This window comes from Homo sapiens, chromosome 1 (assembly GCF_000001405.40).
Source record: "Homo sapiens chromosome 1, GRCh38.p14 Primary Assembly".
Taxonomy (NCBI): domain Eukaryota; kingdom Metazoa; phylum Chordata; class Mammalia; order Primates; family Hominidae; genus Homo; species Homo sapiens.
Genome location: NC_000001.11, coordinates 224,133,498 through 224,155,614, shown reverse-complemented (window position 1 = coordinate 224,155,614; position 22,117 = coordinate 224,133,498). Strand labels below are relative to the sequence as shown.

The following is a 22,117-nucleotide window of genomic DNA, read 5'->3' as shown; positions in this document are numbered from 1 at the left end:
CCAGAGTTAGGGACATTAAATAATTTAGTCTTTCAGTAGATAAAGGCACAAATCTCTAGGAGCCAATATACTTTTGCAAAAACAGTTATTTAGCACAGATGAAGTGATACTGTTCAAAATAGCCTTATGAACCCTTTCTTTTAAAGTAGCAGCCGGGTGTGGTGGCTCATGCCTGTAATCCCAGCACTTTGGGAGGCCGAGGCAGGTGGATCACGAGGTCAGGAGTTCAAGACCAGCCTGAACAACATGGTGAAACCCTGTTTCTACTAAAAAATACAAAAATTAGCCAGGCGTGGTGGCACACGCCTGTAATCCCAGCTACTCAGGAGGCTGAGGCGGGAGAATTGCTTGAACTTGGGAGGCGGACGTTGCAGTGAGCAGAGATCACGCCATTGCACTCCAGCCTGGGCGACAGAGTGAGACTCCATCTCAAAAAAAATAAAAAATAAAAAATAAAGTAGCAGGCAGACACTTTGGGGGCTGAAATAATTCACCAAATATGTCCCTGAAGAGTTTTTGGCATTTTATCTGGTATATTTGTTTTTTAAAAAATGAATATTAATTCATCAGAAACATAAAAAAATACAGATGGTCCTCAAATTACAATGGTTTAACTTAATGATTTTTTTTTTTTTTTGAGACGGAGTCTCACTCTGTTGCCCAGGCTGGAGTGCAGTGGCGTGATCTTGGCTCACCGCAACCTCCGCCTCTTGGGTTCAAGTAACTCTCATGCCTCAGCCTCCCTAGTAGCTGGGACTACAGACATGCGTCACCACGCTTGGCTAATTTTTTTTTTTTTTTTTGAGACGGAGTCTCGCACTGTCACCCAGGCTGGAGTGCAGTGGCACGATCAATCTCGGCTCACTGCAAGCTCCGCCTCCTGGGTTCATGCCATTCTCCTGCCTCAGCCTCCTGAGTAGCTGGAACTACAGACACCCACCACCGCGCCCAGCTAATTTTTTGTATTTTTAGTAGAGACGGGGTTTCACCATGTTAGCCAGGATGGTCTCCATCTCCTGACCTCGTGATCCGCCCGCCTTGGCCTCCCAAAGTGCTGGGATTACAGGCATGAGCCACCGCGCCCGGCCAATTTTTTGGTATTTTTTAGTAGAGACACGGTTTTACCATGTTGGCCAGGCTGGTCTTGAACTCCTGACCTCAGGTGATCGGCCCGCCTCGGCCTCCCAAAGTTCTGGGATTATAGGCATGAGCCACCGCGCCCAGCCAACTTAATGATTTTTTGACTTTACAATGGTATGGAAGTGATAGACATTTAGTAGAAATTGTACTTCAGGTATCCACAGAACCATTCCGTTTTTCACTTTCAGTACAATAGAAAATGAATTCAGTAAATTACACAAGGATGCTTTATTATAAAATAGGCTTTGCTAGATAATTTTGCCCAACTGTAAGCTAAGGAAGTGTTCTGAGCATGTTTAAGGTAGGTTAGGCTAAGCTATGATGTTCGGTAGGTTCGTGTATTAAGTGCATTTTTTGACTTACAATATTTTCTACTTATGATGGGTTTATCAGGATGTAACCCCATTGTAAATTAAGGAGCATCTGTATGTAACTTTTCACCTTGAACTCCTGGGCTGAAACGATCCTCCCGCCTCAGTCTCCCAAAGTGCTGGGACCACAGGCGTGGGCCACTGCGCCTGGTCCAGCAATCCTATTTCTTTTTTTTTTTTTTGAGATGGAGTTTCGCTCTTGTTGCTCAGGCTGGAGTGCAATGGCGCGAATCTGGCTCACTGCAACCTCTGCCTCCCAGGTTCAAGCGGTTCTCCTGCCTCAGCCTCCAGAGTAGCTAGGATTACAGGTGTGCGCCACCATGCCCAGCACATTTTTGTATTTTTAGTAGATACGGGGTTTCACCATGTTGGCCAGGGTGGTCTTGAACTACCGACCTCAGGTGATCCACCCACTTTGCCCTCCCAAAGTGCTGGGATTACAGGTGTGACCCACTGCGCCTGGCCGGGCCCAGCTATTCTATTTCTAATAAGTTTATTGTAAGTCAATATGGATATGTGCAAAGATTTAGTCGCAAGACCGCTCAGATTGTTCTTCAGAGTATAAGTACTGAAAAGCTAGAAACAAGAAATGAGCCTAACTAGTGGATTAGTTGTGTAAGTTATGGTTGATAATCCAATCTCATTAAAAATGATGCTGCCAATAAACAACTACTAACACAGAAAAGTTCAAGACACTGGTTAAGTGGAAAAAAACCGGAAGCAAGTTACAAAATTATGTACAAGCATGATTATAAAGTAGAGATACCTGGAGGAGAGCCCATGAGTCTTCCAGAAACATCTGATCCTGGTAATTTCCTCTTTAAAATTGGAACAATCTTTTCATCAAAGTACTCCATTGCCATAGAGGATATATCCCTTAATTCTTGAAGTACTTCATGAGCTCGTTGAGGGGCTCTGGTAGAATTGACATATCTCAACACACGATAAATCTCATCAATCACCTAAAATAATGAATTCTCATTAGCACTTTAGATTTTTCTTTTTTAATAAAGAAAATAGCTAAACAGGCAGAGAAGTAACTGCTTGTTTTGCAATTCCAGTAAAGACCTGTAGGGTGATTTAAGTGATGTACTGGCCACTGATGAATATTGCTATTTACAACACATGGCTTTTGGACTTGTTACAGTACTTTTTTTTTTTTTTTTTTTTTTTTTTTTGAGACAGAGTTTCACTCGTTGCCCAAGCTGGGTGCAGTGGTGCGATCTCAGCTCATTGCAACCTCTGCCTCTTGGGTTCAAGCAATTCTCTGCCTCAGCCTCCTAAGTAGCTGGGATTACAGTTGCCCGCCATCACGCGTGGCTAATTTTTTGTATTTTTAGTAGAGATGGGTTTCATCATGTTGTCCAGGTTGGTCTCAAACTCTTGACCTCAGGATCCACCCACCTCGGCCTCCCAAAGTGCAAAGATTACAGGTGTGAACCACTGTGCCCGGCCTGTTACATACTTCATACTTGCATTTATTAAGCACCTTTTATGTATCAGGTACTATGTTGGGACTGAGGAATCAGGATGAATAAAATAAAGCTTCTAACCCTGAAGGAAATCACAGTGTAACTGGGGAGATATGTGTGTACATAAGTGATACAAACAGGTATACAAATTGCTATAGACACTAGAGGACTAAACTAAGAAATTAAATCCTGTATGGGAGCTGGGTAGGGTTGGAGATTGCCCAAACCCATTTTATTAATCCTCCAAACCTGAATCTGTTCCCCTAAGCTGCAGGGACTCAGCCTGATTTCTCTGCTCTTTTTAATACTGCCCCCATGTGCTCTATCCCTTTAAGTTTTGTTTCTCTGAGACTTGTTACGGATTGGAATGAAGTCTTGTCACTTCCTTGTCACCACCAAAAGGTAGCAGAAGATCCTTTTTTGTTTTAATGATAATTGTAATGGGGAGAACACCTAACTCTCTTGCTGGAACAGTAAGTGAACCTTCCTTAGGCATTTGTGATATTAGCTTTCATCTCGGTGAGGTTATCCTTAATTCTTCCCTGTGGCTTCAGAATAGACCTGAAGATAAAATTCCTTTTTTTTTTTTTAAGATGGAGTCTCACTGTGTTGTCCAGGCTGGAGTGCAGTGGCACAATCCTGGCTCACTGTCATCTCCAACCGCAGGGTTCAAGTGATTCTCCTGCCTCAGCCTCCCAAGTAGCTGGGATTACAGACATGTGCCACCACACCTGGCTAATTTTGTATTTTTAGTAGAGACAGGGTTTCACCGTGTTGGCCAGGCTGGTCTTGAACTCCTAACTTTAGGTGATCCACCCTCCTTGGCCTCCCAAAGTGCTGGGATTACAGGTGTGAGCCACCATGCCCGACCTAAAATTCCTACTTCTAAAGACCCCAATCTGGATGACATCTATGGGCCCTTAACCTCGTAAGAACTGAGGGTTAATCAACCAAACCATTCTGTCACCAAAATCTCAAACAACCTGGCATCCCACATATTCCTCCCACTGCATTTATCTAGCTTGCTCCCAACTCTGGATCAATCTTATAATCCATCTTCCCTTCTCCTTTACTTATTTAGGCTGCTGAGCACAGCCAGAGAAACAATCTTGCAGAATCGTATCAGGACAAATTCACAGCCCTTCACATTTTCTAGACTCTCAGCATAATATGATGATCATTGTTAATGGAGCATGATGTATGCTTAATAAATGTCAGCAAAATCTAACCTTAGGATGTATCCTTATCATAAGCCTGAGAAGACATCATAGGAGAGGCCAGGTTTGTGGGCTTGGAGAACTGAACAGGAAATGGCTTGGGCTGAGGTGGTGTACGTAGGCAGATGCAATGGGAGATGAGATGTGTGATTTTGAATCACATGGGACATGTAGGTGATATTTGCTAGCAGGTGGCTTGAGATACAGGATGGGAGTTCAGGAGAGGAATTTTGGATGATGGCTGATTGCCAAAGGAGAAAACATATTTATTTCTGGCAATATTACTATATTACGAGCTCACTTTAGAAGAAGATAACCCCTTTCCCCAATAAAAACTTACTGAACTACTATGTTAGGAACTATATATACAAAGAAATGAAAAATGGAGTACTTTCCCTTGGACTTACAATTTAATTACGTAAGCCTATCATAACTTGTAAGATAAACATTATTCAAGTATTGAGTTCTTACTATGTACTTGTCACTTTTCAAAGTACTGGAGTAAAAAACAGTAAATAAGGATGACAAGATTATCATTCTCATGAAGCTAAACAGGAAAATAATTTAAAGGAGTGCCACATGGAAAAAAGAGGGTAATGTGACAGTTTCTATCAGGAAAGGCAGGAATAACATGAGATGGGTGGTTGGGAAAGGATTCTTTGCCATTTGTAAGGTAAGACTGAAGGATGAGGAAGAACTGATCAATTGAAGATATGGGGAGAAAAGTCTTTCAGGTAGAAATAGTAATGATAGTGGCCCCAAGGTCAGTGTCAGCTTGGCTTGTTCAAGGAGTTCAAGGACTAGAAATAGACAAATTTTATATATACATGTATATCTCCAAAGAGTAAATATTTGTGGAAGCTAGCTACTCAAAGCTTAAAAGTTATATAATATTTATACATAATCAAGAAATAGTTAATAAAATTAAAAATATAAACCAAAGTAGAAAATCAGTATTTAAAGGGTCCTTCATACTGACTGATATTTTATGTATAGTGCTAGGATATTAATTGACCCATAGTAGTTTTGTGTTTATCAACGTTTTACATATGGGTTATATATAGGAAAAGTACCACAGTACTCCATAATTTTTTCAGACGGAGCTTCGCTCTTGTTGCCCAGGCTGGAAATGACATGGTATTGGTTCACTGTAACCTCCACCTCCTGGGTTCAAGCAATTCTCCTGCCTCAGCCTCCCAAGTAGCTGGGATTACAGGCACCCACCACCAAGCCTGGCTAATTTTTGTATTTTTAGTAGAGACAGGGTTTCACCATGTTGGCCAGGCTGGTCTCAAACTCCTGACCTCAGGTGATCTGCCTGCCTTGGCCTCCCAAAGTGCTGGGATTACAGGCATAAGCCACTGCACCTGGCCTTCCATAATTTTTAAATGTTGTCCCCAAAGGCTAATATGTTGCATCTATAGATACAAACTGGCCATCAGCCCTTTGAACTAAATCAAGTTCCCCACCTTTTTGCCCCAGGGCTTTTGCACATGCTGATCCCTTTCCTGGAATGCCATCCCTGTGTATCTCCCTCACTTCAAATTCCTTAGTTATACACGAGGTCACAGTAACACTGTACTTTCTCAGAAGTCTTTTCTGAACCCTCCTCCAATTTAAATCATGTTAACATCTTCATCCAACCCTTTATTCCCCTTCAGAACACACATTACAATTTGTAAGTACATCTTTTTGTTAATTTCTATCTTCCATATAATGTAGTAAACTCTATGACAGAAGAGATCATACCATGTTTCACTGTCAGATCCCCAGAGCCTAGCAGCATCTGGCACATGGCAGATACTCAGTAAATAAGGGGTAAAGATGGTTAAGTATATTAATTGTTTAACATTAATTGATACATCTAAACAAAACTGTTTAAGGGCAAATGAAAGGGTTAATTCAACACAAGAATTTGTTTTTTGGCTGGGCGTGGTGGCTCATACCTACGGTGCCAGCACTTTGGGAGGCCGAGGTGGGAAGACTGTCTAGGGACAGGAGTTTGAGACCAGCCTGGGCAACACTGTGAGCTCTGTCTCTACAAAAAATTAAAAAATTAGCTGTGCGCATGCCTATAGTCCCATGAGCTGTGATCAGTCCAGGTGATGGGGCAAGACTGTCTCAAAAAAAAAAAAAAAAAGATTATATGGTTTTTCAGAAGTCAGATGATTATGTTTTGAACACAAAGGTCATTGTAAACAAGATCTCTATTGAGACGGACTTGTAAAAATATAGAATACTTAAAATAGTACTTATATGTTTAATAAAATACCCACAGCCTTATTAATATACCTCTAGATATTATATGTTTATAAATACTGGTAGACAGAAGAATATTTATAGTGTATTTGGGCTAGAATAGGACTGTTGTAATGGTATAGGCATAAGACACAGATCCTATCCAGTGAAACATGACTCCATGAAAGACCCATAAACAGCAAAGCAAAACTCAGACTGTAATAAGTTCAATGTATAAGCAAAGTGCTGTGTGAAAACAGAGTAGAGATTAAGATCCAGTTGAGAGAACTGGGTAGGTCTAATGAAGGACATTAGTAAGTAAATTTCAACAGGTAAGGGAAGTTAGAGCAGGAGGAAGGTACACCTGGCTAAACAGTGTGGAGTTGAGCACAGGGATGATGTGGATGGATAGGTGATAGGATAGCAATTCAACATTTATACAGTAGTTATGCAGTACTATCATGTACCAAGCATTTATTCTAGGGTGTTTCTTTTCTTTTTTTTTTTCTTTTTTTGAGACGGAGTCTTGCTCTGTCGCCCAGGCTGGAGTGCGGTGGTGCGATCTTGGCTCACTGCAAGCTCTGCCTCCCAGGTTCACGACATTCTCCTGCCTCAGCCTCCCGAGTAGCTGGGACTACAGGCACCCGCCACCACACCTGGCGAATTTTTTTCTCTTTTTTTTGTATTTTTAGTAGAGACAGGGTTTCACCGTGTTAGGCAGGATGGTCTTGATCTCCTGACCTCATGATCCGCCTGCCTCGGCCTCCCAAAGAGCTGGGATTGCAGGCGTGAGCCACCGTGCCTGGCCGTTTCTTAACATATATTATACAATTAGTCTTTTTCCATGATACTTATTCTTCAGAATAACTTTCATTATCAAAATATCCTACAGGGATTGCTAACTGACAGTAAATTATTAGATCGGTTCCAAAGTAACTGTGGTTTTGCCATTAAAAGTAATGTGAAAATACATCTACAATTTGTGAAATATTATCTTTACTGTAGTCTTCTAAATGTAGTGTAAAAGCAAGTTCACTCTTTCCATTTGCCCCAGTCTTCCATTAAAAAAGAACATTTAAAAATCTTACTGTATAGAGATTATTTTAGTCAAATGGGATAATCTATGTTTTCAATAAAATTCAAAATAGTTTCTTTTCTTTGTCCAAAAGCTTTAAGCAGAGGATAAGGTGAAGGAAAGTATGTGTGTGAGAACCATACTGCTTCTACCATTCAGAGTTTTAAGTGGCTGCCATGGCTTTAGAGGTATATATTAAGAAAGCAAGGTATTTAACAAATTTTCAAAACAGTTCATTTTCTGAGTAGATTTAATCTTTTTTTTTTTTTTTTTTTGCAAATTACATTAACGAGAATGTAATGGTATGAGTTTTGAGGTCTAGTGGAAAGACCACAGGCCTTAGGAAGGTCACTTAAACTCTTAATGGCTGTTTCTACACCTTTCAAATGATATACCACATGTTGAACCTTACCCAGGCTGTAAGAAGTAAAATAGTCAGTCCCTCCGCATCCTCAGGGGTTTGGGTCCAGGACCACATTGTCAAAATGTGTGTGTGCTCAAGTCCTTTATATAAAATGGCATAGTATTTGCATATAACCTAGATCACCTCTAGATTACCTACACTACCTAATACCATGTCAAAGCTTTGTAAATAGTAGTTACATTGTACTATTTTAAAATTCATATTTTAAAAACAGCTGTGGTTTTAAAAATTGTTTTTCTTCTCTTTTTTTTTTTTTTGACACAGTCTCGCTCTGTTGCCCAGGCTGGAGTGCAGTGGCATGATCTCGGCTCACTGCAACCTCTGCCTCCGGGGTTCAAGTGATTCTCCTGCCTCAGCCTCCCGAGTAGCTGGGACTACAGGCGCTTGCCACCACGCCCAGCTAATTTTTGTATTTTTAGTAGAGATGCGGGTTCACCATATTGGTCAGGCTGGTCTTGAACTCTTGACCTTGTGATCCGCCTGCCTCGGCCTGCCAAAGTGCTGGGATTATAGGCGTGAGCCACCGCATCCGGCAATTGTTTTTCTTCTCTAAATATACATATATATTTTTTGACAGAGTCTCACTAAATATTTTCTATCCACGGTTGGTTGAATCCATGAATGTGGAACCCACGAATACAGAGCTGACTACAGGTTATAAAAAATATTTTTGGCCAGGCACGGTGGCTCACGCCTGTAATCCCAGCACTTTGGGAGGCCAAGGAGGGCGGATTACGAGGTCAGGAGTTCGAGACCAGCCTGGCCAATATGGTGAAACCCTGTCTCTACTAAAAATACAAAAATTAGCCATGCATGGTGGCACGTGCCTATAGTCCCAGCTACTCGGGAGGCTGAGGCAGAAGAATCGCTTGAACCTGGGAGGCAGAGGTTGCAGCAAACCCAGATCGTGCCACTGCACTCCAGCCTGGGCGACACAGCAAGACTCAGTCTCCCAAAAAAAAAAAAAAAAAAAAATTTTAGTTTTATAAAAGTACAGTACAGGCTGTGGCTGGTGGCTTATGCCTGTAATCTCAGCACTTTGAGAGGCCAAGGGAGGCAGGAGTTCAAGAGCAACATAGCTAGAAACAGTCTCTACAAAAATTAAAAAGTACACCATCACATTTCTAACACACAGTAGAAGTACCACGCTTATGTCTAAAATGGTACAGTAACAAATTATATACGATGAATATCATTTAGGCCTTTAGACTGTGGGTGAGAAATAATTTTTTAATCTACTGTTTAGCAAACAAAGCTCCTGCTAGAATACTGAACCTCATAAATGCTCATTTTTTTCTCATTTTTCATCTGTCTTTTTGTTGTACTTGAGATTTCCTTAACTTTCCCTTCTACCCCTTTTATTTTTTAAAAAAATTTCCTCCATATTTAAAAAACCTAAGTGCATCTAAAATTTTCTAAATATTATTTTTAATTTTTTTTTTTTTGAAGACAGTCTCACTCTATCGCCCAGGCTGGAGTGTGATGGTGTGATCCCGGCTCACTGCAACCTCCGCTTCCCAGGTTCAAGTGATCCTCCTACCTCAGCCTCCTGAGTAGCTGGGAATACAGGCGTGTGCCACCACGCCCGGATAATTTTTTTTTTTTTTTTTTGAGAAGGAGTTTCGCTATTGTTGCCCAGGCTGGAGGGCAATGCCACAATCTCAGCTCACCGCAACCTCCACCTCCCGGATACAAGCAGTTCTCCTGCCTCAGCCTCCTGAGTAGCTGGGATTACACGCTTGCACCACCACACCTGGACAATTTTGTATTTTTAGTAGCGATGGGTTTCTCCATGTTGGTCAGGCTGGTCTCAAACTCCCGACCTCTGGTGATCCACCTGCCTTGGCCTTCCAAGTGCTGGGATTACAGGTGTGAGTCACTGCGCCTGGCCCATGCCCGGATAATTTTTGTACTTTTAGTAGAGGTGGAGTTTCACCATGTTGGCCAGGCTGGTCTCGAACTCATGACCTCAGGTGATCTGCCCGCATCAGCCTTCCAAAGTGCTGGGATTACAGGCATGAGCTACCAGGCCTGGCCTCAATATTCTTTATATGGCATGTTTGTTTGAATACGGTTATGTGCTGCATCATGATGTTATGGTCAATGACAAACCATATATGAGGGTCATCCTGTAAGATTATAATGGAGTTGGAAAATTCCCATCGCCTAGTATTTACTATATTATACAGAAGTCCTCATTTTAATGTTGATAGGTTCTTGAAAATCCCGACTTTAAGTGAAATGACATGTAATGAAACCAATTTTATCATAGGCTAATTAATATAAACAAGTGTTAAGTTCCTAAGGCATAGTTCTGGTCATGAAAACCACCAAACCTCTAAATAAAGACCTAAAACACTTCCTTTTTTTTTTTTTTTTTTTTTGAGATGTAGTCTTGCTCTGTTGCCCAGGCTGGAGTGCAGTGGCGCGATCTCAGCTCACTGAAACCTCTGCCTCCCTGGTTCAAGCGATTCTCCTGCCTCAGCCTCCGAGTAGCTGGAACTACAGATGCCCGCCATCACGCCCGGCTAATTTTAGTATTTATTTATCTATTTTTTAGTAGAGATGGGGTTTCACCATGTTGGCCAGGCTGGTCTTGAACGCCTGACCTCAAGCGATCCACTCGACTCAGCCTCCCAAAGTGCTAGGATTATAGGTGTGAGCCACCGCGCCCGGCCCCTAAAACACTTCTAATATCAAACACTGAAATAAATGTGAACTATACACACATTTAAGAAAGATTAATAAAAACAAGATAATGTATCCAATTTTTGGTCAATCAGTGAGCTATGGCAGTCATCATGGTGGTGGGTTACTTCAGGGAATACATGTTTGTAAAGCAAAAATTTTAAGGAGCACCTCCTACCAACATGTAGTTCAGAAACAATAACAAATAGGAGGGCTTGTTTTTTGTTTTTTGAGATGGAGTCTTGCTCTGTCACCAGGCTGGAGTGCAGTGGTGGCACGATCTCGGCTCACTGCAACCCCCACCTCCCAGATCAAGTGAGTCTCCTGCCTCAGCCTCCCAAGTAGCTGGGACTACAGGCACACACACCCACGCCCAGCTAATTTTGGTATTTTTAGTAGAGATGGGGTTTCACCATGTTGGCCAGGATGGTCCCGATCTCTTGACCTCGTGATCCACACACCTCCGCCTCCCAAAGTGCTGAAATCATAGGTGTGAGTCACTGCACCTAGCCTTTTTTGTTTTTTTTTGAGACAGGGTCTTCGCCCTGTTGCCCAGGCTGGAGTGCAGTGGCATGACCACATCTCGCTGCAGCCCTGACCTCCTGGGCTAAAGCGATCCTCTCACTTCAGTCTCCTGTGTAGCTGTGACCATAGGTGTGTGCCACCATGCCTGGCAATTTTTTTTTTCTGTAGAGACGAGGTCTCCCTATGTTGCTCAGGCTGGTCTTGAATTCCTGGTCTCAAGTGATCCTCCTATCTTGGCCTCCCAAAGTGCTGGGATTACAAGCATGAACCACCACACCTGGCCCATTCATTCATTCCTTTTTTTTTTTTTTGAGACATAGTTTCATTCTGTTTCCCAGGCTGGAGTACAGTGGCGCAACCTCAGCTCACTGCAACCTCCATCTCTCTCTGGGTCCAAGTGGTTCTTGTGCTTCAACCTCCCGAGTAGCTGGGATTACAGGTGCATGCCACCATGCCTGGCTAAATTTTGTATTTTTAGTAGAGGATGGGGTTTCACTATCTCTACTGGCCAGGCTGGTCTCAAACTCCTTACCTCAAGTGATCCACCCGCCTCAGCCTCCCAAAGTGCTGGGATTACGGTGTGAGCCACCATGCCTGGCTATTCATTCATTTTTCTTTTTTTTTTTTTTGAGATGGAGTCTTGCTCTGTCGTCCAGGCTGGAGTGCAGTGGCGTGATCTCAGCCCACTGCAAGCTCCGCCTCCCGGGTTCATGCTATTCTCCTGCCTCAGCCTCCCAAGTAGCTGGGACTACAGGTGCCCGCCATCACGCCTGGCTAATTTATTTATTTATTTTTTGTATTTTTAGTAGAAATGGGGTTTTACCGTGTTAGCTAGGATGGTCTCGATCACCTGACCTCGTGATCTGCCCGCCTCGGCCTCCCAAAGTGTTGGGATTACAGGCGTGAGCCACCACACCCGTCCTATTCATTCATTTTTCAATCTGCTTATTCTAGTTCAGGGTTGCAGGTGGCTGGAGCCCATCCTAGCAGCTCAGGGCACCAGGTCGTTATCCACCCTGGCCAGGATGCCATCTCACTGCAGGGCACCCTCACACCCACACTCACTCAGACTGGGACCACTAAGACATGTCAATGAACCTAACAGGCACAGCTCTGAGATGTCGGAGGAAGTCAGAGTGCCCAGAGAAAACTCATGCAGATATATGGAGAATGCACAAACTAAACAGACAGTGGCCCTGGCCGGGAACTGATTTTTTTTTCTCCTTCTCTTTTTTTTTTTTTTTTTGAGACAGAGTCTCACTCTGTCACCCAGGCTGGAGTGCAGTGGCACGATGTTGGCTCACTGCAACCTCCATCTCCTGGGTTCCGCACCACTGCACCCGGCTAATATATGTATTTATTTAGCTGGGACTACAGGCCCGCACCACCGCACGCTTGCTTGGTTGCTTATTTATTTAAGACAGAGTCTCATTCTGTTATTTACTTACTTACTTATTTATTTATTTCAGAGTCTCTTTCTGTCCCCCAGGCTGGAGTTCAGTGGCACGATTATTTATTTATGACAGAGTGTCTTTCTGTCCCCCAGGCTGGAGTTCAGTGGCAAGATCTCGGCTCACTGCAACCTCTGCCTCCTGGGTTGAAGCGATTCTCGTGCCTCAGCCTCCCGAGTGGCTGGGATTACAGGCACGCACCACCATGCCTGGCTTTTTGTACTTTTAGTAGAGACAGGGTTTCACCATGTTGCCCAGGCCGGTTCAAACTCTTAAGCACAGGCAATCCACCTGCCTTGGCCTCCCGAAGTGCTAGGATTACAGGTGGGAGCCACTGTGCCTGGCAATTTTTTTATTTTTAGTAGAGACAGGGCTTCACCATGTTGGCCAGGCTGGTCTTGAACTCCTGACCTCAGGTGATCCACCCACCTCAGCCTCCCAAAGTGCTGGGATCACAGGCGTGAGCCACTGAGCCCAGCCTGATTTTTTTTTCTCATCAATATTATAACGAAACGACATTTAAGCTAAGTGTTATTACAAAAAAGTCAAGAAGTTAAAACTTAAAGAACTCCTGAGCTCAAATGATCCGCCTACCTTGGCCTAGGTGTTGGGATTGATTACAGGCATGAGCCACCATGCCTGTCCCCCCATTTTTTTTTTTTGAGGCAGAGTCTTGCTCTGTCGCCCAAGCTGGAATGCAATGGCATAATCTCAGCTCACTGCAACCTCTACCTCCTGGGTTCAAGCGATTCTCCTGCCTCAGCCTCCCGAGTAGCTGGGACTACAGGTGCACGCCACCACGCCTGGCTAATTTTTGCATTTTTAGCAGAGACTGGGTTTTGCCATGTTGGCTAGGCTGGTCTCTAACTCCTGACCTCAGGTGATCCGCCTGCCTCGGCCTCCCAAAGTGCTGGGATTACAGGCGTGAGCCACCATGCCTGGCCCCAAAAATTAAAAAAAAAAAAAAAATTTAATGTGCCTGTAGAGTCCCAGGTACTTGGGAGGTCGAGGTGGGAGGATTGTCTTGAGTCTAGGAGGTCACGACTACAATGAACTGTGGTCATGCCACTGCACTCTAGCCTAGGTGATTCAGCAAGACCCAGTATCAAAAAAAAAAAAAAATTAATGTAGCCTCAGTATGCAGTGTTTACAAAGTGTACAGTAATGTCCTAGGCTTTCACATTCACTCACCACTCACTCACTGACTTACCCAGAGAAACTGAGTTTCATTCATGATAAATGCCCTATACAGGTGTACCATTTTTTTATACCCTACTTTTACTGTACCTTTTCTATGTTTAGATATACAAATATGATTGTGTTATAATCACCTACAATAGTCAGTACGGTAACATGCTGTACAGGTTTGTAGTTCAGGAGCAATAGACTATACCATATAGCCTATGTGTGTAAGAACCATCTAGGTTTGTGTAAATACACTCTATGATGTATGTTCACATGACAAAGTGACCTAACAATGCATCTCTTGGGATGGATCCTCTTTGCTAAATGACGCATGATTGCATCTTTTTTTTTTTTTTTTGAGACACAGTCTTGCTCTGTCGCCCAGGCTGGAGTGCAGTGGTGCAATCTTGGCTCACTGCAAGCTCCGCCTCCCGGGTTCACACCATTCTCCTGCCTCAGCCTCCCAAGTAGCTGGGACTACAGGCACCCGCCACCATGCCTGGCTAATTTTTTGTATTTTAATTAGAGACAGGGTTTCACCTGTTAGCCAGGATGGTCTCCATCTCCTGACCTCGTGATCCGCCCACCTCGGCCTCCCAAAGTGCTGGGATTACAGGCGTGAGCCACCATGCCCGGCCGATTGTATCTTTTTTTCCCCACTATGTCTTGCCCAGGCTGGAGTGCAGTGGTTTGATCTCGGCTCACTGCAGCCTCCGCCTCCCAGGTTCAAGCGATTCTCCTATCTCAGCCTCATGAGTAGCTGGGACAACAGGTGTTTGCCACTACACTTGGCTAATTTTGCATTTTTAGTAGAGAAAGGGTTTCACCATGTTGGCCAGGCTGGCATATCTTTTCTTATTTCTCAGAATAATTTTTTTTTTTTGAGACAGAATCTCACTCTGTTGCCCAGGCTGGAGTGCAGTGGTACGATCTCGGCTCACTGCAACCTCCACCTCCCAGGTTCAAGCGATTCTCCTGCCTCAGCCTTCTGAGTAGCTGGAATTACAGGCACGTGCCACCATGCTCGGCTAATTTTTTGTATTTTTAGTAGAGATGGGGTTTCACCATGTTGGCTAGGCTGGTCTAGAACTCTTGACCTCAGGTGATCCGCCCACCTCAGCCTCCCAAAATGCTGGGATTACAGGTGTGAGCAATCCTGCCCGGCCTGCTATATTCTCTTTAATATGAAAACAGACTTTTATTTTTTTTAAAGGCTCATGGCTGTATATATTTATTTTGGGACAAGCATAGTAAAAGGAGAAATGTTCCCAACTAATCTTGATTTTTAAGAGTATCGCCACATTAAAATCAACTTTAAAAGAAACAAAAACAACATTCTGTAAGCATTAAACTTAAATGGAAGCATATCCCTCAAAATAACTGACCTACGTTCTTCAAAAATGTGATGATCAAGTGACACAAAGAGAGCCTAGGGAACTGTTCCAGATATAAGATTACAGTCCATGCATGGTTCTCGATTACATTCTGTATTAACAAAAAAAATTGCTAGGAAGAGTATTATTGGAATATGTGATGAAACTTGAATATGAACTGTCAACTACAGAACAGTATTACATCAGTGTTACAAATTTCTGATTTTGCTCTCTGTACTGTGGTTAAGTAAGAGTATCCTAGCTTTTAGGAAATACAATGAAATATTTAGGAACTAAGGAGCACAGTGTCTCCAACTTATTTTCAAGTGGTTCAGGAAAAAAAAGTATTTATATTTTATTTTCTTGAGACAAGATCTTGCTCTGTCACCCAGGCTGGAGTGCAGTGGAATGATCATAGCTCATTGCAGCCTTGACTGCCCAGGCTCAAGCAATCGTCCCACCTCAGCCGCCCAAGGAGCTGGGGCTACAGGTGCATGCCACCACACCCAGCTAATTAATTTTTTTTTTAGAGACGGGGGTCTTACTTTGCAGCCCAGGTTGGTCTCGAACTCCTGGCGGCTTCAAGCCATCTGCCCGTCTCAGCCTCCCAAAGTATTAGGATTACAGGCATGAGCCACCACGCCTGGCCAAAATGTATGTATGTATGTATGTATGTATGTATGTATGTATGCATGCATGCATGTATGTATTTATTTCAGACGAAGTCTCACTCTGTCACCAGGCTGGAATACAGTGGCGCAATCTCGGCTCACTGCAGCCTCCGCCTCCTGGGTTCAAGTGATTCTCCTGCCTCAGCCTCCCAAGTGGCTGGGACTACAGGCGTGTGCCACCAGCCCAGCTAATTTTTGTATTTTTAGTAGAGACGGGGTTTCACCATGTTGGCCAGGCTGGTCTCGATCTCTCGATCTTGTGATCTGCCCGCCTTGGCCTCCCAAAGTGCTGGGATTACAGGTGTGAGCCACTGTGCTCGGCCAAAATGTATTTATAAAGAGAAAATAAAAGCAAACAGGATGAAAGGTAAATAACTGCTAGATTTGCAAATAAGCTATATGGGAGCTCCTTGTACTAGTCTTGTAATTTTTGTGTAAACTTGAAATTACAAGAGAATAAAAATTTACACACACAAAAAAAAGAATAAAAAAATTTACCACCACCAATTTTCTTTCCCAGAAAAATAAATACAAGCCAATAATGCCTAATATATAGATTTTTACGTCTGTTCAGGGAAATATAGCTTCATGGCCTTATGTAGTCAATTATACTGTAAAAACCCTAATTTTTGGGGACCATTGTGTTTCAATAAGAACAAAAGGTTTACCAGGGCTACTAGTGACAGTTAAGAGCAGAGACTGGGCTGGGCGCAGTGGCTCACATCTGTAATCCCAGCACTTTGGGAGGCTAAGGTGGGCGCATCACAAGGTCAGGAGATTGAGGCCATCCTGGCTAACACGGTCAAACCCCGTCTCTATTAAAAATACAAAAAAACTTAGCTGGGCATGGTGGCATGTGCCTGTAGTCCCAGCTACTCAGGAGGCTGAGGCAGGAGAATCGCTTGAACCCAGGAGGCGGAGGTTGCAGTAAGCCGAGACTCCAGCTGGAGGCTGAGGTGGGTGGATTGCTTGAGTCTAGGCGTTCAAGACAGCCTGGCCAACATGGTGAGACCCCGTCTCTAAAAATATAAAAAAAAAGAAAAAACAAAAAAATAAAAAAGAAGAGCAGAGACTATCCACATGTTTTGTTTTTTCATTATCATCTCTATGAATGGCTGGTTGCTCAATGCTCACATACGGTTGTGTGTCAGTATATGTGAACTGCTGATACTAATATGAGCTTACTGTAAAAAGTGTAACTTCCATGTGTTAGATAGAAGATTTGAGAAATGTATACAGGAGTAAGCCAACATTCTATAACATCTTAGTTCTGAGAGAAGATAAAGAGAATATCAATGTGGTACTTAGGGTTGGCCAACTATACCCCTATTTAGCCTATGCCTGGTTTTGTAAATAAAGTTTTACTGGAACGCAGGCACAAGCATTCATTTACCACACATTGCACACGGCTGTTTCTCAGAATTGCATAGCTGTCACAGCGAGCACAAGGTTCACAGGGCCAAAAATATTTATAAACTGGCCTTTTACCAAAAAAAGTTTGCTGATTCCTGTCCTAGATAATAGCAAACTTGTAACCTGTCTAAATTCTTTTTTTTTGTGGCAGGGTCTCACTCTGTAGCCCAGGCTGGAGTGCACCAGTGTGATCTCGGCTCACTGCAACCTCTGCCTCCCAGGTTCAAGTGATTCTCCTGCCTCAGTCTCCTGAGTAGCTGGGACTATAGGTGCCTGCCACCACACCCACCTAATTTTTGTATTTTTAGTATAGACAGGGTTTCACCATGTTGGCCAGGCTGGTCTTGAACTCCTGATCTCAAGTGATTTGCCCGCCTCAGCCTCCCAAAGTGCTGGGATTACAGGTTGTCTGAATTCTTTACACAGCTTTTAATGCCCTATCAATATAGTCCCCCTGTCAATGGACTCCATTTTAACCCCTCTAGTGAATAAGCCTTTGGTTTTCACTGAGTAGAAGGGCAATGATCTAGCTTGCCTGCAATTGGAGAGGTAACCTGTAGGTTTGAATCATTCTTAACTACAGATTCTCAACCAACCTTCCTGTTATCAGTCCCACTCTCACAGGTGTCTGGCTGGAGCTTTTAACTCTAGAGCTTTCTTTTGTGCAAGGAGTTCCTCTTGGCTTTCCCCACTGTCAGTGTAGGATTTAACTTTCTCAGTTCTGCTAAATCAGTTACCATTTGTTTCTCTACTTTATAGCTTTCAAAATTTTATTGCTACTGTCTTCTCCCCTAATCTCACCATTCTTGTGGATTTCTGTCTTCCTTTTTCTTTTTTCTTTTTTTTTGCTGAGACAGAGTCTCGCTCTGTTGCCAGGCTGGAGTGCAGTGGCATGATCTTGGCTCACTGCAACCTCTGCCTCCCAGGTTCAAGCGATTCTCCTGCCTCAGTCTCCTGAGTAACTGGGACTACAGGTGCACACCACCACGCCCAGCTAATTTTTGTATTTTTAGTAGAGATGGGGTTTCACCATGTTGGCCAGGATGGTCTCGATCTCTTGACCTTGTGATCTACCCGTCTTGGCCTCCCAAAGTGCTGCGATTACAGGCGTGAGCCACCGTGCCCAGTCCCAACTATTACTTTAAAGGTCCAAAATTTTGGTACATATTTGGCTATCTAATTTGAACTATAATGTTGCTACTACTCAGATTCACTTAAGTGAATAAAATGCTTACTGTAGACCTTAAGTTTGACAAAATGAATGTAGTCTATATAAAACCACAAAAGTTAGTTTTCTTAACAAAGTATAAAAGCTTCTGTGGCTAGGCACAGTGGTTCACACCTGTAATCCCAGCACTTTGGGAGGCCAAGGCAGGCGGATCACTTGAGATCAGGAGTTTGAGGCCAGCCTGGCCAACATGGTGAAACCTCGTCTCTACTAAAAATACAAAAATTACCTGGCTGTGGTGGTGTGCACCTGTAGTCTCAGCTACTTGGGAGGCTGAGGCATGAGAATCGCCTAAACCTGGGTGGCAGAGGTTGCGGTGAGCCAAGATTGCACCAATGGACTCCAGCCTGGGCGACAGAACGAGACCCCATCTCAAAAACAAAAACAAAAAGACTTCTGAACTTTTTTTTTTTCTGGAGACAAAGTCTTGCTCTGTCGCCCAGGCTGGAGTGCAGTGGCACGATCTTGGCTCACTGCAAGCTCTGCCTCCCAGGTTCATGCCATTCTCCTGCCTCAGCCTCCCGAGTAGCTGGGACTATAGGCGCCCGCCACCATGCCCAGCTAGTTTTTTTTTTTGTATTTTTAGTAGAGATGGGGTTTCACCATGTTAGCAAGGATGGTCTGGACCTCCTGACCTTGTGATCCGCCCACCTTGGCCTCCTAAAGTGCTGGGATTACAGGTGTGAGCTACCGCGCCCGGCCTAAACTTTTAAGTACATCCCAGAAGCAAGATCTCAGGGAAAACAAGAACAACTTATCATAAACACCATATATTAAATGAAGATTATATGTTAGACTGAAAATTATTTTGTATAATGTTCTTACTTCAGCATGTGGAAATTAAATGCCGCATCCTTATATTTTGCAGACAGGATGTGAAAAGTTTAAGCATGAGAAGTACAAAAAAGGGAACACTCATAAAACAATCCAAATAATGCACCTGTACCGGGAGGCAGAGGTTGCTGTTAGCTGAGATTGCCCCACTGCACTCCAGCCTGGGTGACACAGCACGACACCATCTCAAAAAAAAAAAAAAAAAAAACTGAAGTCAACAAATGGTTTCCAAAAATGACAGGACTCCAGTGGATTTAACATTATTTGTTTGTTTTTGAGATAGAGTCTTGCTTTGTCGCCAGGCTGGAGTGCAGTGGCATGATCTCGGCTCACTGCAACCTCTGACTGCCTGGTTCAAGTGACTCTCCTGCCTGAGACTCCCGAGTAGCTGGGATTACAGGCACATGCCACCATGCCCAGCTAATTTTCGTATTTTTAGTAGAGACAGGGTTTCCCCATGTTCGCCAGGCTGGTCTTGATCTCCTGACCTTGTGATCTGCCCGTCTCGGCCTCCCAAAGTGTGGGGATTACAGGTGTGAGCCACGGCACCTGGCAACATTATTTGTTTAGACTGTCAACATCACCATTCCAAACACGTGAGCCTGATCAACTAGCACAGAAATTGGTGACTTCTTCTGTACAGGCCAGATACTAAATTTTTCTTTTTCTTTTTCTTTTTTTTTTTTTTTTTTTTTTTTGAGACAGAGTCTTGCTCTGTTGCCCAGGCTGGAGTGCAGTGGTGTGATCTTGGCTCAGTGCAACCTCCGCCTCCCGGGTTCAAGCGATTCTTCTGCCTCAGCCTTGCAAGTATCTGGGATTAGAGGTGCGAGCCACTACAGCCGGCCTGGATCATAAATATTTTAATCTTTGTAGGCCACATGAACTCTGTCACAAACTATTCAACTCTGTTACTTAACAACTGACTGAATCTCTTTGAAGTTATGATAACTGTGAGATGTTTCTTAGATATTCATGTTTCTAACAATGAGATATTCAATAAAAACTATGATGCTATATGAAACAAGCTAAGTTCAAAGAACTCAGGAACACTTAAAAGTTAAGGCCTTTAAGTCAGATTCAGAAAAATCTGGCATAAGAATCACTCTGAAGTTTCTAACTGGTCATCCTCTTATAGCACCCTACAAAAAGCATTAGCAGGTAATGTGTTGGTATGCAACAAGATCTTTTAAAGAAAATGTATATAATGCAAAGAAAGTGAGATATACCAAAATATTTCAAATACAATCATAAGAAATGGGATTCCCCCCAAAAATAAATGTCAAAGAAAACTAAAAATGGACAAAGTACGTATTAAATATTGCCAATGTAAATTATCTTTGGAAATAACAAAAAGCGAACATTCAGATTTTACTAGATATTAATTATTTCCAACCATGTTAAGGGAAACTTTTGCCAGCATCAACCAAGTAGCAAAATGACCTTTAATTATATCTCTACCACTTCCATATAAAAAGATACAGACATATGTCAATTTACACTTAATTCAAGGAGTAGGGTACTACTGAAGGTATAAGTAGTATGTTGAATGTTGGAGTTTTTATTAACTTAGTAATGGTAAATATGCCACAATATAGTTATTTCTGTGTTAAAAAGGACTGTTATTTAGTTCTGGGAATATTGGTAAATAGCAATTGTTTATTCTTGTCAAATCAGAAAGTTTATAAAGTTGTCGTTATGAAACATTTCTCAAACAAAACAAAAACCAGCTTGTCCCTCCTTTTCTACCTCCCCAAAATTATAATAGTCTTGAAGGCAGGGACAATATGTATGTTGTTCATTGCTGTATCTCTGGCATCATAACCACCAGTAAAACCTCAAATTTTATTCTTGAGTATGAACTCTTAAAAAACTTCTCTAAAGAATATTAGGGTTTCGACTATTTCATAATTAGAATTTTAAATATAAAGATCATACAAATGATACATATTTATAACTGTACAGAAAGCAAACAAATTCATTAGTAGAAACTCAGAGAAGTAGAAACAATTCTAACATTTCTAAAATCAGAAATTCATAACTGTATAATAAGTTTATGTAGGGCAGTCCAGCTGTTCTAGGCAAGCAATTCTATTTTACCTTTCCTGGGATGAAGCAACAGAGATTGGAATCCACATATTTCATGAAAGTCATATTTAATAGTGACAGCCTTGTTTCAACAGCAGCAAGAATGTCTGCATGACGAGCTAATGAATGGTTTCTCCTTTCTGACTCTCTCCTATAATAATAATAATAATAAAAGCAAGGCAACCATTAAAGCAGTATTGTGGACTAAAATATTAAGCAATCAAGATGGCTTAATGAAACAGTCTTTTACATGTTAATTTAGAAATCTACAGTTGGGTCATAATTTAACTGTAATGATGAATGAATCACTATGCCTAGAAATCGTTACCAAAGACTGGTACTCATTGACAAAATATTTGAAAACAAACAAAACAAATTATATATATATATATATATTTTAATTAGGTTTTTTGGGGCCGGGCTTGGAGGCTCACGCCTGTAATCCCAGCACTTTAGGAGGCTGAGGCGGGTGGATCACCTGAGGTCAGGAGTTTGAGACCAGGCTGGGCAACATGGTGAAACCCCGTCTCTACTAAAAAATTAGCCAGGCGTGATGGTGCATGCCTATAGTCCCAGCTACTAGGGAGGCTGAGGCAGGAGACTCGCTTGAACCCGGGCGTCGGAGGTTGCAGTGAACCAAGACTGCACCACTTGCACTCCAGCCTGGGTGATAGAGCAAGACTCCATCTCAAAAATAAAAATAAAAGTAAAGGTTTTTTGGCTATCA

General features: G+C 42.7%; 2 protein-coding genes across 4 annotated transcripts in view, besides 3 other annotated features; one reads left to right on the top strand and one right to left on the bottom strand.

The window, feature by feature from the left end:
* Nucleotides 1–22,117, bottom strand: part of FBXO28 (F-box protein 28) — a 47,937-nt gene that overhangs the window by 6,433 nt on the left and 19,387 nt on the right. The window contains exons 3-4 of one of the 3 annotated variants that reach the window (NM_015176.4): nt 21,403–21,541; nt 2,278–2,473 (exon numbers count right to left, since the gene is read on the bottom strand). In NM_015176.4, coding sequence (NP_055991.1) covers nt 2,278–2,473; nt 21,403–21,541 — 335 coding nt within the window. The remainder of the gene's footprint in view (nt 1–2,277; nt 2,474–21,402; nt 21,542–22,117) is intronic. The other 2 variants (NR_049764.2, NM_001136115.3) reach the window with 2 other exon arrangements.
* Nucleotides 531–1,030: an enhancer, noted in NCBI's record as "H3K4me1 hESC enhancer chr1:224342287-224342786 (GRCh37/hg19 assembly coordinates)". NCBI's record gives its function as "activates a minimal SCP1, AML or CMV promoter by ChIP-STARR-seq in primed H9 embryonic stem cells {active_cell/tissue: H9 hESC(primed)}" and the evidence as "EXISTENCE:reporter gene assay evidence [ECO:0000049][PMID:30033119]".
* Nucleotides 1,031–1,532: an enhancer, noted in NCBI's record as "H3K4me1 hESC enhancer chr1:224341785-224342286 (GRCh37/hg19 assembly coordinates)". NCBI's record gives its function as "activates a minimal SCP1, AML or CMV promoter by ChIP-STARR-seq in primed H9 embryonic stem cells {active_cell/tissue: H9 hESC(primed)}" and the evidence as "EXISTENCE:reporter gene assay evidence [ECO:0000049][PMID:30033119]".
* Nucleotides 9,723–10,224: an enhancer, noted in NCBI's record as "H3K27ac hESC enhancer chr1:224333093-224333594 (GRCh37/hg19 assembly coordinates)". NCBI's record gives its function as "activates a minimal SCP1, AML or CMV promoter by ChIP-STARR-seq in naive H9 embryonic stem cells {active_cell/tissue: H9 hESC(naive)}" and the evidence as "EXISTENCE:reporter gene assay evidence [ECO:0000049][PMID:30033119]".
* On the top strand, nt 12,670–19,406 carry LOC124903813 (UPF0764 protein C16orf89-like). Its single transcript, XM_047436340.1, has 3 exons — nt 12,670–12,813; nt 12,933–13,034; nt 19,302–19,406. Exons 1-3 carry the CDS (start codon nt 12,670–12,672, stop codon nt 19,404–19,406), a joined length of 351 nt encoding a protein of 116 aa, XP_047292296.1.

Bases quoted from the DNA above. Each gene is read 5' to 3' on its own strand.
- LOC124903813 (XM_047436340.1), top strand. From the start codon at position 12,670: ATGACAGAGTGTCTTTCTGTCCCCCAGGCTGGAGTTCAGTGGCAAGAT. The intron at 12,814-12,932 runs GCTTTTTGTACT...TACAGGTGGGAG, and splicing joins GGCACGCACCACCATGCCTG to CCACTGTGCCTGGCAATTTT. The intron at 13,035-19,301 runs GCCTCCCAAAGT...TTCTTACTTCAG, and splicing joins CAGGTGATCCACCCACCTCA to CATGTGGAAATTAAATGCCG.